General features: G+C 41.4%; 2 pseudogenes across 2 annotated transcripts in view; both read left to right on the top strand.

Moving 5' to 3' along the window:
• The window catches only part of AOX3P-AOX2P (AOX3P-AOX2P readthrough, transcribed pseudogene), a 99193-nt pseudogene continuing 84346 nt past the window's right edge, over nucleotides 3012–17858 (top strand). Inside the window, exons 1-2 of one of the 2 annotated variants that reach the window (NR_135011.1) lie at nucleotides 3012–3300; nucleotides 7220–7726. The product of NR_135011.1 is annotated as an AOX3P-AOX2P readthrough, transcribed pseudogene, transcript variant B (transcript). The remainder of the gene's footprint in view (nucleotides 3301–7219; nucleotides 7727–17858) is intronic. The other variant, NR_135012.1, reaches the window with a different exon arrangement.
• Nucleotides 3012–17858, top strand: part of AOX3P (aldehyde oxidase 3, pseudogene) — a 43059-nt pseudogene continuing 28212 nt past the window's right edge.

Here is a 17858-nt window from a genome sequence, read left to right on the forward strand (position 1 = left end):
CTTTGACCCAGCAATTTCACCACCAGGAATCTACTCTAGGGGAGTAATTGAAGGTAAGTCAAATATTTATTATATACATAGATATTTGTCACAATGTTACTTATAATTACAAAAAAATTAGAGATAAACTAAATGTCCAACAATAGGGGATTGCTTAAGTATTTCATGGCATAACCATGTGATTGGAATTTATACTATCTTGGAAAATCTCTTTTGTGCAATATTTAAAGAATTTGAAAATAAAAATGGTTTGAAGTGAAAAAATTTAAAAATTGAGCACTCTGATACCAGATTTATAGAAAAAATGTATAAGCATAGTATAATCTCATATATACAGAGCAATTATAAAGAGTGGACGGAAATACACATAACATTGATAGTGGTTATCTCTACTTCATATGAAGTAATTTTATTCCCTTCTGTAGATTTTTCAGCAATTCTACATGATGTTTTTACATGAACATGCATTAATTTTATAATCATATGCAAAAAAAGTTTAAACAAAAAGAAATTCCTATGGATGGTACAGTAATTACAGCAGAAATACAATTCCCTCTAGAATCCAAATTTGCTTGATTCCTAGTTATATTTGAAAGGGTAGGGGGGACTTTAAAGACTGGTATAGACTGTTTACCCAGTGGACATCAAATATCACGGCCTGGAGTTACAGGAGGGTCAGGCCTCCCCCCAGCATTTGCAAGCGCAAAGCAAGAATATAAGGAGAAGACATCTCATTCTCTTCTCTTCCCACCCCAGTTCTGTTCCACATTGCTGGCATCACAGATTGAACACCCAACTCACCTGTCCAAGCTCCATCCATTCCCCAAACAGCTGCCCCTTGGCCACAGCTCAGGCCTAGGGGTGAGCTTCTAGATGGGTATCTGTCCTCTCTGGGAGGAGAGACTGCAGCAGAGGCCCACGTGGGCTGTGGAAGTAGATTTCGGGCCTTTTGGGAAGGAAATTCTGAGGCCATGAGTGCCAACAGCCTGTGGCTCAGCGATGGGGTACAGGCTGTTGGTGGAATGTCCCTTAACCCTGGGGTCTCCTTGCTCCTTGGAGATGGGCATGGTGACAGGGGGCCCAGCAACCTAGGGCCAAAGGGCAATACTGGGAATGGGCTCCTGGAAGCAACATTTGATGCCTCTGACACCAATAGAAATGTAAATAAGAACAAACTCCAGGATGGGGGCCTCATCTCTCAGAGGCATAAAAAATGACATTACAAAAAAACCTAGTATGGTACTTAATTTAAACATTACTCATTCTTCAGCTATTATTTTCCCTACTTCACCTCCCTGCAACGCATCAACTAATCATGCTGAAGTCCCAATAGAACTGGTAAACTGTACCAGCTGACAGTCAGAGCTGGCTTGGGAGGTTCTCGGCAGATCTGTTAGAAGCCATTTCTTACTTTAAGCTGAGATCTGCTGTCCTGCCACTTCCACATATGGGCTAACCCTGGGTAGACCTGTCCCTCATCTATGAGACAGCCCTTCCCATAGATGCAGCTGCTTTCATTCCCACTCGCTCTCTGCATTCATCCTCCCTGTTTCCTTTGTAGCTAAATTATCTGCATGCACTTTCTTCACCTAATGACTCATCCATTCCTGAGACTCCAGGTGACATCTCCATATGTTTTCTGAATCCATTTCTACTTCTGCTCTCTTTTCTGACCCTTCCCTTACATACCTGGTTCTGAGTTCATCGTAACCCTCACCTTACTCCACTAAACAACTCTCTCCTGACTTCCATATTAATGCTATTGGTACCCTTTTGCTTTTTCTCCCCTAGAGCCAAGGCTTGATGCTGGGCTCATGTAGCGGTCTGCAGGCTCATCTGTCCCTTGTCCTCTGCACTTGCACTCCCTGAGTCCAGACCATCTTCAATTACACTGCAATTATTACAACAGATTCTCTATACGGTCACCTTCCTTCCAACACCTCCCATGCAACCTAACTCATAGCAGGGTCTCAAATTTCCCAGAATTGCTTAGGAAGCTTCTTCAAGATGTTTTTGCCTGAGATTCCCCTCCATTTTACTGGATTAGAACCACCTGTAGTATGGCCCAGGACAAGCTCTGAACTTTTACAAACCTCCCCAGGTCATGGATGCGACCAGTCAGCAGGCCTGGAATTGGGAACTACTACATACCACAGTCAAATTCATCTTCTAGAAATATTGGTTCAGAAACTCAGAGTAACTCTCCCAGGCCCCAGAATTCTGTCTCAAATCTGAGGCCTGCTTTGAAGACTTTCCACAGTCCTGTCTGCCTCTCCCCAGTCTCCTACTAGCCTCCCCTGTGTCGCCAAGAGGATCTGCTTGACTTCTTTCTACACCCAGGGAACAGCTTCCCATCTGATTCTGTGCTGGTTCCATTCCCTGTCCTCTCCCTCCTCCCTCCCTTGCTCCTGAGGGATGGGAATGGTGAGAGAGGGCCACAGGACCCAGTGACCCAGGGTCTAAGGGCAATACCAGGAATGGCCTCCTTGAAGCAACGCTGGATGCTTCTGACACCAATAGAAAAGTAAGTAAGAACAAGCTCCCCCGGAGGAGCCTCTGCAGCCCTTTACTCCCTGGCTTCCTGGGGAGCTTGTGTTTGTACCACTCCTTGATGCTCAGCTCCTGCCACCCCTCCTTGCAGTTCATCTGTCTCCAGCTGCCAGTACAGAGCAGCTACTTAACAGCTGCCAGTTTCCTTCCGCTCCTCCCACCCCCGGCCTTCTCCAGCCAGAATGCAATTGCAGGGCTGGGCTGTCTCTCAGCACCCTGTGTCCCCAGTACCCAGTCCAGGCCCACCAGAGAGGAGAAACTCAACAGTAGGCTGTTAACAATCATGACACTCATCAAACTTTGACTTTGTTTTTACTGAAAAATTGAAACATTAATTTTTTCCCTTATGATTTGTACCAAATCGTATAAGAAAGAAGAATGTCAGCCTGTAGACCCAACCCAGGAACTTGCTATTTCCATCTGAACTAACGGTTATGTTCTTTCTTTTGATTTACTTCTGCTTTTATGCCAACTGCGAGGGAATAAACAGTCTCATCAGCCCATCTGCAGCTGTGCCTTTGCCACCTTCTGCCCCCAAGGAGGCCTTTGTACAACTGTCACCCTCAGGAACCTATGAAAAGCATTTTTCATCCCAGACTTGGCCCCAGGTGGACGCACCTTTTCCCTTATATTTCACCTCATGGAACTCCTCTCCCTCTGGTCCAGGGCAGGACCTTCGCACAGTCCATTCTGCCACACAAGCACCTTTATGAAGCCAGAAGGAAAAGCCAGGATGCGCGTGATGAGTAGGTAAGTGCGGTAACAGCCTTCCTGTCTCCCAGAGCAGCTCCGCACAGATTGACAGCATTTAACTGCCCCCTTTTCTTTTATTTTCTGAATATTTCCCTCAGGCATTCCTTGGACTCACCCGTATTTGTTTCACAAACTTCTTTTAGGAGACTTCCAAGTGCCAGGCACTGAGCTGGCCACTTGGGATACAGGAATGACAAACCAGTTGCCCCTAAGGAGCTCACAGGCCAATGAGGAGACAGACAGACCTGTCAGTAACCACCAGCAGCAGAACATGAAGAGGGTTATACATGGGACTTGCGACCCAGGCTCTGGGAGTATAGCGGAGAGCAAGAGTTAGGACACGGTGAGCATTCAGGGAGGCTTCACAAAGAGTTAAGCTGGAGATAAACTTCAATTATAAACACATGTTATCAAGATGTGACGAAGGAGAATAAATGGGACATGGAGAGGGAATTCTAGGCAAAGTAAAAGTCATGTGCATTGGTCTGTGGCTTTGCAGAATGTGGGAATTAAAAAGAAATCAAGCAATTCCAAATGATAAGGACATGTCATGTTAGAGAGTTGACTATGACACCCACATTCACCCCATAGTAGGAGGCTGGAAAGGAAGGTGGAGGCCAGGAGGTGGGACTTTAATTCAGATTGGATGGGCAGGAATTTTTTGCACAGGTAAGGGGGAGCCATTAAAGGACTTTGAATGGGGGAAAGTCATATCATATTTACTACTGTGAAAGATCCCTCTGGCTGTTGTATGGAGAAAAGATTGGGAGGAACACAAGTGAATGCAGGGTAACAGATGGTTACCACAGTGGCCCAGGAAAGGGTGACAAGAAGGAGGGTCAGGAGTGACTCCTAGACTTAGCATTTACATAGTAAGAGGCTGAGTTATGGATTCTGGAGTAGAACCACCTTTCAGGGGACAGATCAGGAATCTGGATTTTCACATACCAGTTTAAGATCCTTTTAAGAAATCCAAAGGGGAGTATCAAGTAGGTAGTTGAAAGCTCAGAGGAGAGGTCAAGGTGGGTTGTATAAATTTACATTTGATCATTGAGATCAAAACCAGGAGTACTGATGAGGGTGTAGTTGAGAAGAGACCCTGGGTCTAAGCCGGTGGAATTTCAAAGGCTCACGAATGGGTATTAGAATAAGTAGACCCAAGGGACTGAGAGTGAGAGGGTGGCAAGGGGGTGCAAGATTCAGAAGACTGGGGTATTCCGGAAGCAGTGGAAGAGTGTGTTTAAGAAGGAGATTTGTCAGGTCCGGGCGCAGTGGCTCAGACCTGTAATCCCAGCACTTTGGGAGGCCAAGGCGGGTGGGTCACCTCAGGTCAGGAGTTCGAGACCAGCCTGGCCAACATGGTGAAACCCCTCTCTACTAAAAATACAAAAAATTAGCTGGGCATGGTGGTGCATGCCTGTAGTCCCATAGTCCCAGCTACTGGGGAGGCTGAGGCAGGAGAATCACTTGAACCCAGGAGGTGGAGTTTGCAGTGAGCCAAGATCGCGCCACTGCACTCCAGCCTGGGCAACAGAGTAAGACTTCATCTCAAGAAAATAGAAGGAGATTGGTCAAATACAGCAAGTGTTGAGAGACCAAGTGGGATGAGAACTGAAAATACTGATGCAGATGTCGCTGTTAATCTTCACAAAAGCAGTAGGAGTGTGTTGAAGATAGAGAAGGAAAGAAATGAAGTCTGTGATGCAAAAAGAATTTTGCAAAATCTTTGCAAATTTTGCTGAGGGAGAGGCAATGGAAAGGGCAGTAGATGGAGGGGAACTGGGGACGAAGTTTGGGGTTTTGGCCTTCTTTATTAGTGGAAGGAGCTTGTGTAGTTTTAAATGTTGTTGGTAAGCCAAGCATGGTGGCTCATACCTGTAATCCCAGCACTTTGGGAGGCGGGAGACAGACAGATCACTAGAGCTCAGGAGTTTGAGACCAGCCTGGGAAACATGGTGAAATCCCATCTCTACAAAAAGTACAAAAATTAGCCCGGCATAGTGGCACACATCTGTAGTCCCAGCTACTCAGGAGGCTGAGATGGGAGGATTTCTGGAGCCTGGGATGGTCAAGGTTGCAGTGAACCAAGATCGTGCCACTGCACTCCAGCAGGCAATAGAGCCAGACTTTGTCTCAAAAAATAAAATTAAGTTAAATTAAACTAAACTAAAATAAATAAATTAATGTTGATGGGGGAGAATAAAATTAAAAGGCAGGGGCTGAATGTTTAAGAGATGGAAGAGATGAAGTCTAAAGCAATGATTAAGGAATGCCTTCTTCATTTCTTTCACTGAAACAATCCTTCCAATTCAAGAGGATCACCCTGTGCTCCCACAGAACTCTGTCCTTCCCCTATAGGCTATTTCCATTCCCAGTTGACTGCCTATTTACTCCCTAGGTTGTGAACTCAAGCCAGCTCCACGAGGGCACTGTTGAGTGCTGCATTCACCATTGTGTCACAAATGCCTAACACAGTGATTCTCAACGTTTTTGTCTCAGGCTGCTTACACCCTTAAAATTATTAAGGACCCCAAAGAGCCTTGTTTATGTGGATTTTAAATATTGACATTTGTAGTATTTGATATTAAAACTGGAAAAGCATTTTAAACATTTATTCATTCGTTAATTTATTTAAAAGTAACAAGAGTAAACCCATTGCACATTAGCGTAAATAACATTGTTCATGAAAAGTAACTATATTTTTCCACAGGAAAACCAGTGAGAAGAGTGGCATTGTTTTACATTTTTGTAAATCTCTGTGATACAGGCTTAAAAGAAGGCAGCTGGAATCGTGTTATCTGCTTGTGCATTCAGCCAGTTGTGATGACACACGTTAAGCACCCTTTGTAAAGTTCTGTACACTCATGGGAGAATGAGAAGGATGAAGGCAAATAATCTCTTTCATTACAAAATAATTTTGACTTTGGGGCCCCTGGAGGTTTTATGGGGACCTCTATGTATCTCTAGACTACACTTTGAGAAGCGTTGGCCTCCCCTGATGAGAGGAACACATGCATTATTTCATTAATCAGAGTTGTAATCCATTCCCAGGGGCTCCCATCTCTCTGTCATCTTTCCAGCAAATCACATAACTTACAGCAACATTTACAGAACCTTATGATAAGGCAATTCTCACGTAGCTAATCTGCCTTTAATTATTACTCAATTTCCAGCAGCCTCTCCACCATGATTTTTGTTCAGTGTTGAAATCATTCAAAGTGAAATCATCTATGAAACTGGAAAATTCCACCAAAAGATCTGCCCTCTCAATAGCTCCCACAATGAACAAAATAATTTTTCATAAAGTATTTTTGCAGGGGTATCATCAAAGTTAATTTCAGATGAATTAAGCAATTCAATTCCTACTTGAGAAATGGTTCCCTTGTTCATTAGTAACTTGCAGAAATTGTTTAAACCATTCTTCTTCCAGGTGCGTGGGACTATTTCAGTTTCAGAGGACTCTGGCCAAGAAGCCTGGTGCCCTTGGGTTCATGGTCCTGTTCACATTAACCATTTGTGTCACCTTGGCCAGCTCACTTTCCCTCTTTGGGCCTCATTGTTTTTTTCTTCTGTAAAGCTAGATCAGTGGTTCTCAGATTTACTCATGTAATAAATGTGAAGGAGTGATCAGAAGTCAAAGGCTTTTCCTTGAATGCCATATTCTTTGTTGAGCACTATAAAAATAGTGGCAAATTTAATTAGACCTTGTGGAATAGTAACAATTTTAGACTTAGAAAATATTACCTTAATAGATGATCCTGTATGGAATCAAAACTGGGAGCACAGAGCTCATTAAAAAAGAAAAGAAGAGAAAAGAAAAAAAAGAAAAAGGCTATCCAATTAAGCATGGTCAACTATTTGCAAATTGCCCTCATAAATATTTATTTTATACTTGTTCATTTCATTTTATTGTCAGCTATCACAGCCATTGGTTTTAGAGAAATAGAGAAGAGGAAAACTTTGAAGAAATTCTGCCCATTAACTACATCTGCTAATTGAGAAAAGTCCAGTTTTCAACTGTAGCTGTGAGACTCCTCAATCTTGCTTGGGAAAAAATAATGGCCTGTGAGAGGAAGGTCCCCATCGGCTTCAGTTAATCTAATGTTCTATGTTTTTACTGTATTTCTGCTGTCCAACAATAGTTAGCCTTACTCCACACTTCAATGGGGTCGAAGAGCCACAGTGGCCCATACTTCAATGGCCTCTGAGAGCCAAAAGCACTTTCTATATCATCTAGTCAAATACCTAATTTCCAGATAAAGCAAGCCAGGCCTAGAGAGGTTCCAGGATTTTCCTAAACTCACCTAGCTACTTAGTGGCCAGGCCATGGTTAGAACCTGGGTCTCCTGGTGTACTCTGTGTTTTTCAATCCTACATGGTTGCCTGACAATAAATGCACACATAGTTAATTCTCTAGTAATGTGCTATATTCATTCATAACTTAGTCAATAATTATTTCTTCAGTTGGAAATTTGACATTAGACAACTCATCACTGATACATAGGATTCTTATAAGTCAAGATTTAATTAAAATCCATTTTGTTCTTTTTAAGCTGTAAGAGATGGAAAAATAAATATGCAAAGCAGTGGATTCTATTATGAATCAATTAGGCCACTATTCTATGTGTTTTGTTATCCATGGTGGGTTTCATTCATTCTTGTTCAGTTTGTGAGCTGTAATAAAGTGTGTGTTTTGTCATTGACATCAGCATGAAGTCTGCATTTGTCTACTGCAGAGAATGGCAGAGAATTTTCTTTTGGGGTCTCCATTTGGGACCCCATTTTCTTTTGGGGTCTCTGACTTTCCAAGGGGAGAGAACTACCTGGATCACTCCAGGAACCCAGAAAGATCTTCTGAGGCTGAAACTTAGGTACCCCAGCACCCCCCTGTTATGATGGGAAACCTTAGTTCATGGGGAAGCAGGTTTTCACTTTGTATACTGAAAAACTAGATTAGCGAAAGGAGATGTAAGTTGCAGCATCTACTCATAAATCAAAATACATTCCTGGGTGATTAAAATTCACCCCCTGTGCCCAACTCGTTATGCAATTAATACATCTGGCTCATAAAGAGCAATCTGGCCTCTCATTCCAACTCTAGAATGCAATTAAATTTTCTGAGGCTAAAATTTCCATTCTTTTAAAACATCAGTAAATAATAAAATGGATGTTTCTTTTATTGGGTTCTAGAGTGAAAAAATCCACAGATGATTTACTGCTTGGATCAAACTCAGTTCCAATATCGGGGAAATTACTGAGGAGGAAAACAAGCCACAATTGTAATAGTTTTATTTCACTTTATTAGGATCTGTAATTATCACTTCTGAATCATAGTGTGATTTGCAAAATGAAATCTAGCTGATTTATTTCCCACCAGTGATAATCCTTCTGTCTTTTAGGGCCTGATATGAAATTCAAAGAAGTTTTCCATCCAATTATTATCCATCTTGCAAGGATTTTGGAATTATTTATAGTGATTAACATACAAGAAGGTGCGTTCTCATTTACTGTAACAAGATCCTGATGTTGCAGATAGTTCTGGTAAAGCAAGCTCAGGCTATTTGACACTAAGCAAATCATGAGATCATGTGGCTGGAGGAAATCATATTTGACACTGTAATGCTGAACCACATAGGATCTTTAGAATGTCTGCTAGATTCAGAAAATCCTGGTAAAGACTGTACATCCTCTGTTGAGATTCAATTTTCTACACAGAGCTGGGGCTCAACAAAATGTTTGTTGTTCACCCAGAAGTCTTTCAGCTGTCTCTAACTACCTCCACGATTCAGGGCGTACTTAGCGTTTTTCTTCCCTCCGGTAGCAGATGAGAGCAGCTACCACGTTCCCTGGTAAATAGCAAGCACCGTTTTCGCAGGCCACAGAACTTCGCCAGGTATTCCTTCGGTTTTCCCTTCTCTAACTCAGAAGAACCAATTTTAACAATTGTTTCAAAGCTACCCAACAAGGAGAGGCATGGGTGTTTTCCCCACAATTTAGGACTCAATTCTTTAGATCAACATTTTTTGGTGAAAAGTACAGGTGGAATAAAACTATTTTTAAATACTCATTTGTTTATTAATTTTATAGGTAATTAGGCTTTTACCAGGCACCAGGCACTGGGCTACCTGCTGGTAAATCAATCCCCCCGAAAAAAACATGAATTCTTCCCTAGGAACTAATAGTATTGTGGGAAATGTGGCTATATAAAGGAATAATTACAGAGTGATGCAATAAGTGTATTTGACATAAATATTTTCCTTTATGATTAGTGGAATATTTCTCCACAATCTATGGAATGCATTCAAAATTGACTTTTTTTGGATTAGCTCAGTTTTAGTGACTTTTAAATTTTGATTGAGGAAAATCTGGGATTTTTAAGAGAGGAAAATCTGGGATTTTTAAGAAAGGAAAAGACAAAAATAGATACCCGCTTAAATGCTACATACACTAATTTTAAAGGTATATGTAAAGTTGCAAGCACTAGTAAAATAACTTGTGTTTGTTATGCTCCTCAACACTTTTCCCTGTATTTTCTACAAACGAATCTCTTTGATAATAAAAAGTAGGTTTTTTAAATGTTGCTTTTTTCCTTGTAGAAATGCACAATAAGAGCATGCATAATGCTAGAAAAACTTTGACCTAAAACAGCCTTTTCAGTCATTTTATAGTTCTCTGAATAACTGGAAAATTGTAGTTTACACACACTCACACACACACATACACACACCCCCCGTAGGTTTCTGTTGCTGATTTTACCTGCGGTTTCAACACCGCTGAGTCAACTTCATGGTGCTGGCCCTTTATCTGAAAAATTGATTCATTCTCTCAGTCTTTGCCTTTGAACCTAAATCACCTTGTTGTTAATATCCTTTGAACATCCTTTGAACTCTCAATAAATATCTGTTTTATAATCTCAAAGGGCAAAAACCTCTATTTGTAAGTTTTCAATGCCAAATCACAGTCATGTTAAAACAGGTCAAATAAGTGCATGTTCTGAGTTCAGGGTGTAATAGGAAAAGCCATAGAGACGTAGGTAACTTAGGGACAGTTACCTTCTTTCTAGATGAATCCTTAGATTCCTGAGCTGGGATGCCTGGTCTAAGTTGGTCTATTTGGTAAGCAAAACAGAACCTTATTGAAGAAAACTCTGCCCCAAAATGTCGCATCTGTTTATGCAAATGAAAATCAAACCATTCTTAAGCAACTGGTCTCGGCTTCAAGAAGTACTGTGAACAAGTCTTATTTAAAATGAGAGCCACAAAGCCTACTTCAGGTTCTTTTTACAAGAGCCTTTTCTGTCCAATTTCCCAAAATTAAAGCATGAGCTCCCTCTGCTGAGTGAATTCACATGTGTTGATGAAACAGACTCCAAAAACATTTGTATATTACCTATTGAACCATTATGTTCCTGTAAACATAAGCAATTATAAATATAAAACATATTTATATTTTCTTTTTTTCAAACTCATAATACAGAATGGGATGGAAAGGTAAAGAAAAGTAATTCACAAGGTAGAGATTCATTAGTTGAGGCTTTTCAGTTTCACAACAATGGTCCTGAGCAACAGCTGCTGGTACGGCAATGCTTTGTAATCACCATGATGAGTTACCAGGGGTTGCTTGCAAGCACCGGTTCTCACAATCAACCTATTACCCAGCTTTGGTTCTTCATAGCACTTATCATATCTGAAATTACAACTGACGTATTCAATTGTCTGGTTATGACTGTCTTCCCCTAAGAGAATGTTGACTTCCTGACAGTGGATAACATGTCTGTGCTTTCAGCCCTTAGAACATGCCTGACACACAGTAGGTGCTCCGATTTGTTTTATGAATTGAGGGAGGCAGAAAAGCAGGCAGGCAGGTCAGCATATACCTATAGTGTCACTTAGGATTATGGTTCAACTAGAGAATGATTCAGTGCCAATCACATGGAACTGGATACAAATTTAGTAGGAAATGATAGAGATAAGAGAGCCAAAGGACGTACGGTGAAAGAGGTGTGGAATTCAAGCTCAACCATAAAGATGGGAAGGACTTGGTGAAGTTAGACAAGGAAACAAGCATGGTGTTAAGCACTGAGGATACAATGACTTAAAGAAAAAGGCCTGGACTTTGCTCTCATGAAGCTTATAATCTGATGGGTAAGACAGGTATCAAAGAAATAAACAAATGAAATGCAAAACTGCAATTGTGACAAGTGCTATGAAAGAGTGGAATGTGATGTTAGAGGAGCAGGTAATAGGGTGACCCAAACTTATCGGACAGTTATGGAAGGCTTCTCTCAGCTGAGATGAAAGGAAGGGGGAGTTACCAGGTAAGGAGGGTGGAACTGCACACACACTGTGCAGGAGACTGGAGGCAGTGCCTGTTGCTGGAGCAGAGAGCAGGGGAGATGGTGGGAGAGGAGCTACCCAGCACCTGATGAGGAAAATCTCTCTTGATCCTTAGAGCAGAGCGCAAAGCATGGCTGTAATGGTTCTGATTGCTTTTCAGGGATTCTGAATCATGTTTACTCTCTTTTCCTCACTTTTCTATATTTACAAGGTAGTCTACAATGAAGATGTGTTATTTAATAATTTAAAAAGGGGTCTTTTATGAAAGAGAGTGGTGGCATTATATGCCTACTCTGGCCTTTCCGACTTACCCTCTTCTTTCCCAGGTTTACAGAATAGTAATGAAGGTGTCTCACTTTCAGAGCTGACCCTGGCCTCAGCCTGGCCTAGGTGAGGGACATCCTGGCTGATGTGGTCCCCAAGTCCCAGAGAACACACAGACACATCATGCTCTCTTGAAGCATCTGAGAACCCTGGCTGGACAATAGATCAGGAACGTGGCAGTAGGTTTTCTGCACCAATTATCTGGGTGTGGGTAGTTTAGTGAGGAAAGGTTGTATCATTCATGATTTCTACCACTTTCTGCTGTATCCATTGGTGTTTTTCACATGATTGAAATATTAGATTGCCTAATTTCAGACCCTTGTGGATAAGCCACTTAAATGCCCAAGTTTTCAGAATAGGGAGCCAGAGAGGAGGTGCTGCCTTCCTGGTCCACCCACCCATGACCTGGTTCATATCTGCAATTGTCTGTTGAGAATCTATCCAGTCCAGAAATGTCTATCTTTAACAGCTCCCTAAGGGGTTCTTTAACTTGTTACTTACAGAGATAACTGATGGGTTCATTGAGAACAATTGACCTGATAACAAATATGAATGAGAACCACACAATTAACTCAACCTTTCAGTGTAATTCTGTATTATTCCAATTATGATATATGATATATAGCTGTAAAATATTGACTACAAATATACATGTAATTATCAACTATAAATAACAGCAGCAGCATTATCCTTGCTAACCCTCAATGCCTCTGTATGAAAGAATCACTGGATTGTTTCTATGGTCCGGTCTGCACCCTCCTCTTTGATTACTGTGGCTTGGTGTTTCTGCTGGCCTCTTCTGGATCCTGTGACATGCACATTCTAGGCTGCCTGATTACAACAGTTCTATCTTTATAGGAGGGAGGGCCTTTAACCAGCTAGGTTCATCTCAGTCATTCTAGCTGCAATTTGTTACTCAAAGTAAATTCTTCAATGATGAAATCCCCATCAATGGCCTTTTCCAGGAGGCAGCTTCCCCAGATCAAAGGTTGTCAGGGTATGTTGCCCACAAGCCATCTCTCCTCTGCCCCCTCTTACATCTGAATCTCTCGGTATATTGTCACCTCTGTGCTCCTTGAATCTGCATTGCAGCCATGGGTAGGTTTTAGTGGTGATATCTTGGCTGGGAGATCAACTTTTCCCACCCTGCAGATGTCGCTGTCTCTGGGATGCTGCCTAGTCTCCTCTTTCAAACCCTCTCTGGCTCAGCTCCTGCCTCCCCCTCCACATCTCACCCCAAACAGCCCTTGCTCCCTTTCTTCTCAGATATACTCTACTAACCCCACCCACCCACCACCAGCTGCAAGCACCTGGGGTTACTCTCCTTAACTATTTCCTATTATCAAGCAAGCTAGACATGCAGAGTTGGAAAATAAATTCTTCATATGTAAATCACTGGAGTCCTCTCCTAATCAGAAATTAGAAGTGGGTGGCATGGAAGTGATTTTCACGATTTGTCTTCACACTTCTGTTTCGCCAATAAATAAAGGGATTAGTGATTCCTCTAAAACATTTTAAGATTTGCAAGAAAATCTCTCATTTATGCTGGCACTTTTTATTCTAATTGCTGAGACTGAAAAGAAATGTCATTCTCTATTTAATTCAGTGTTCATAATAAAAGCCCTGAGGTTGCTGATTAATTTTTATTTTCATCCTTAGGAAGTCAACTGTTAGCAGAATTTCAACTTCTGATCTCATTCCTGCTTTGGGTGTAGGCAATTGCGTACTCAACCTTGCTTCAAAACGTGAGCTACTGAATTCCCTCAGAAGTGCTGATGTCAGTTTTATAAGTGTATTGAATGCAGAATTGTGGAATAATATGAACCTGTTATTTAAATCATTGGTTACCATACTAACTTTTCATTTTGCTGTGGATAGAACTGGAAGCACAGACATTGTCAGGATAGTGGATGAATATGACACACTTTAAGTGATCAGGAAGCATGTGTGAAACCATCTCAATCTGTCTTTCTTCTTATCTAGTCACTATCAAGAGACAAAGCACTTGTAATTGATTAATGTTATAAAGCAAGACTAGAATGTAATGAAGCATAGAGTTTTATTTTAGAGGCAGTTTTATTTTAACAGCTTTATGGCTTCCTTTTTGTCTCGGACTTGTTTGCTTAGGTTCTAAAGAGATCATTTACATTTTTAAAAATTTATACTTTGGTACTTTGAAGGAAAAAGCATACTTTTTTCTACCCTCACACACCACTCATCCCAGAACACTTCTGATGTCAGATGTGTGTGGGATTTTTCCTCACACACCAAGCAGTTCTCCAGTGGACACCAAGTTAATTTAACTCAATTCTGACACTCCCTACCTGGAGACAGTGTCAGGCCCCACAGGTTGAGGGCTCAGTCATACAAGGCTGCCCTCCTTTTCAGATGCCAATCACAAATCCAGGCCTCTGCAACTTCTGACCTATAGGATAGAAATTGGGGGCTCCCATGACCAAACCATAACCAAACATTAGGTTTGGTTAATGTTCTAGAGTGACTCGCAGATCTCAGGGAAACACTTTACCTACAGTTACCCATTTATTATGCAGGATATTACAAAGGATACAGGTTAACAGCCAGATGGAAAAGATGTATAGAGGAAGGGATGTGGGAAGGGGTGTGGGGCTTCCATGCCCTCCCTGGGCACGCCACCCTGCAGGAACCTCCATGCATTCAGCTATCCAGACACTCATCTGAACCTTGACCTTCTGGGTTTTTATGGAAGCTTAATTTCATAGGCATGATTGATTACATCATTGGTCTTTAGTGAGCCACTCAACTTTCAGCCTCTCTCCTCTCTGCATCAGGGGGTGGGCTAAAAGTTCCAACTCTCTAACTGCAAGGTTGATTCCCTTGGCAACCAGCCCCCATTCTCAGGCTAACCAGGAGCCCACCAACCACCACCTCATTAGGATAGAAGATGCTGTCACCCAGAAAATTCCAAGGGATTAGGAGCTCTGTGTCAGATGTACCTGTCACTGAGGAAATTACAAAGGTCTTAGGAGCTCTGTGTCAGGCCTGGAGATCAAAGACCAAATGTTAAAACCAAAGATTCTTCTAGTGCCCCTACCTACCAGGGTTTTAGGAGCTCAAGAACTGAGGTCAGGGACCACTATATGTATTTTTTATTATCTCGCAATTTCATAAGTAGCTTTTATGGGGAAATGTATAACTACAGTGAAATCCACTGAAGGGGATTCATGAGAATCACAAGATACCCTTCATAGTGCCAAGGGCCCATTGAATAATACAGACCTTGTCAGGTACATTGATTTGAAAGGAAAGTTCTAGTAGGACCAGGCTGAGGAAGTGACTCTACATGGTGAAACAAAAGACAGAACAGAACACTTCTTGGTTTACAAACTACATGAGAAAAAATTAGTCTCTTTTTCACTAGACTTTTGACCAAAGAGTGTGATGGCCAATTTGACCCACTGCCTTACACGTCAAACTGGTTTCTGAATGTCTTTGACCTCTTACCAAAAATCAAACTCACCTTCAAAGGATAAAGATTTATCACCCCTGAGACTACAGACTCTGAAAGAATATCCCCCAGAGTTCCCACAATGTCATGACAGCACTATTGAGACAAATGTATAATCTCTCCCAAGCTGGCCATTTCAAAGAGAGTAACATTTATTTGTGTGGCTATGTTTTAGGATTTGGGTTTAAAATAATCACTGGACTTTAAGGTTGTTTCATTTATTGATGTTACTGCTGGCATTTGTATTTCATCAGCCAATGTCACTATTCTCATGAGTAATATATCCGCTTTTATCACCATCACTCTCCAGACATTTCAACTCTTCAAAATCACTCACAATCTCTCTCCCCACAACACACCCCTCTGTCTGTCACTGTCACCACATTTACCCACTGATTCCCACCATTCTTCCCTGTAAGTTGCACACTGTAATCTTGACAGAATGTTCCCCATAAACTGGAGGAGTTCTGCTCCATTAGCACAGGTAGGAGACTGTTTTCCCAAGACAGGGCTCCCAGATACATCTGGATACAACCAGAATCTGGGATAGTCACGATATTATGTGTGGCTATTTTTCAATTTAATTTTAATTTTAGCATGTATTTTCAGAATAAGAAATCCTAAATTTAATAATAGTAGTTTCAATAGTATATAATATCTTTAAATGAAATTTTTTTTCCTTCCTAGTGGAAGAAATACAGCAAATTCCTCTAAATGGTCATTTTCTTGCAGGAGCAACCAATGCAAGCCTTAAACCAGAACAAGTCCTAGTTTGTTTTTTATTCCTCTCTCTAGAAAGATATGAGATTATAAAGTTTAAAATGTTCACTTTCATCTGTTTGCTTTTGTTGCTTTATTTTTATCTTGGATTGAATACAGCATAATAAAAAGTAGAATTTGTAGCAAATATTGTATATATGCCTAGGTGCAAACAATAACAGATTAGATGTCAATCTGTGTCATTAGAGAATTTCAGGACATTGCATCGTTCTCTTATCCTTCTTCTTCAAAAGCTCTAAAAACCTAGGATCCCTGGAATGACAAGTCATATACTTGAAAGAAATAAATAACCTTATTGTACAGATGAGGAGATTGGGGCCCAAATATGTTTAATTATTTCAACAAAGTTGCACAGTGAATGGGTGGCAGAACCATGACCAAAACCCACCATCAGCCTCAGAGAAGTTAAGTGGAATAAAGAATTATTTATAAAATCTTTTTTTTTTTTTTTTTGAGATGGAGTCTCGCTCTATCGCCCAAGCTGGAGTGCAGTGACGCGATCTGGGTTCACTGCAACCTCTGCCTCCCGTGTTCAAGCGATTCTCCTGCCTCAGCCTCTCGAGCAGCTGGGACTACAGGCATGTGCCACCATGCCTGGCTGATTTTTTGTATTTTTAGTAGAGAGGGGGTTTCACCACTTTAGCCAGGATGGTCTTGATCTCCTGACCTCGTGATCCGCCCGCCTCGGCCTCCCAAAGTGCTGGGATTACAGGCATGAGCCACTGTGCCCGGTCTATAAAATATTTTATTTTGGCTTTACTGCCCAAGATTAATGTTTTCTTCAAACTAATAAGAACTTCAGAGAAATGTACAGGGAACCAAATGAGTTGTGATCATACTAAGATTCTGGTCCAATATGAGCAGTTCGTGTATTCATTGATGGGCAAAATGTGGCTTTGACTTGCTCTTTGTTTAATGGCAATATCTGCTTGCCAACCGAAAACTTGAACAAATGTGGATGTTACTATTGAATCTCTTCTTCAGCTCCAGGTCAGTTCAACCAATAAATGAAAAGCGATGGCTATTGCCAGAAGAGAAGAGCAGCACACTCATTTTGTTGACACCTTCCCCCACTATCATTCACTAATTCGATATTGATTGACACTCTACCGAGTAGCACATGAGCACCAAGGACAGATAAATAGTGACGATTGCCACTATTAACCAGAACTATTGCTAGGTGTCCCCCTGCCCCAGCTATAATTTAGAGGCATGGTGGAATAAATTAGAAGAATAAAATTAACAAAGATTTACTACTGATAACTTGCTCTTGACCAACAGAACCCAATATGCAGAGTCTGTGCTGGTTAATTTTAGGAATGCTAGGACTTCAGAAACATTTGCCAAATGAGAAGGCAGATGATATTGTGAGAATGGTGCCTATGACACGTTCATGAGTTTCCAGGAGGGTGTCTGCAGCCAGGAGTGGGGGCGGGTGGGAAGTTGAAGAAAACGAAGCAGCAGGTCCTGTCCCCTATCACCCATTGAGCATTCTTGCCACCCCCTAGGTTTAACCTAAATCAATTTATGAAAAAAGAATCAGATAAACCCAAATTGAGCAGCAAGCTGCAAAACAACTAGTCTGACTCTCCAAAATGTCAGTGTCATGAACAACAAAAAAGGCTGGA

This window comes from Homo sapiens, chromosome 2, assembly GCF_000001405.40.
Source record: "Homo sapiens chromosome 2, GRCh38.p14 Primary Assembly".
Classification (NCBI taxonomy): Eukaryota; Metazoa; Chordata; class Mammalia; order Primates; family Hominidae; genus Homo; species Homo sapiens.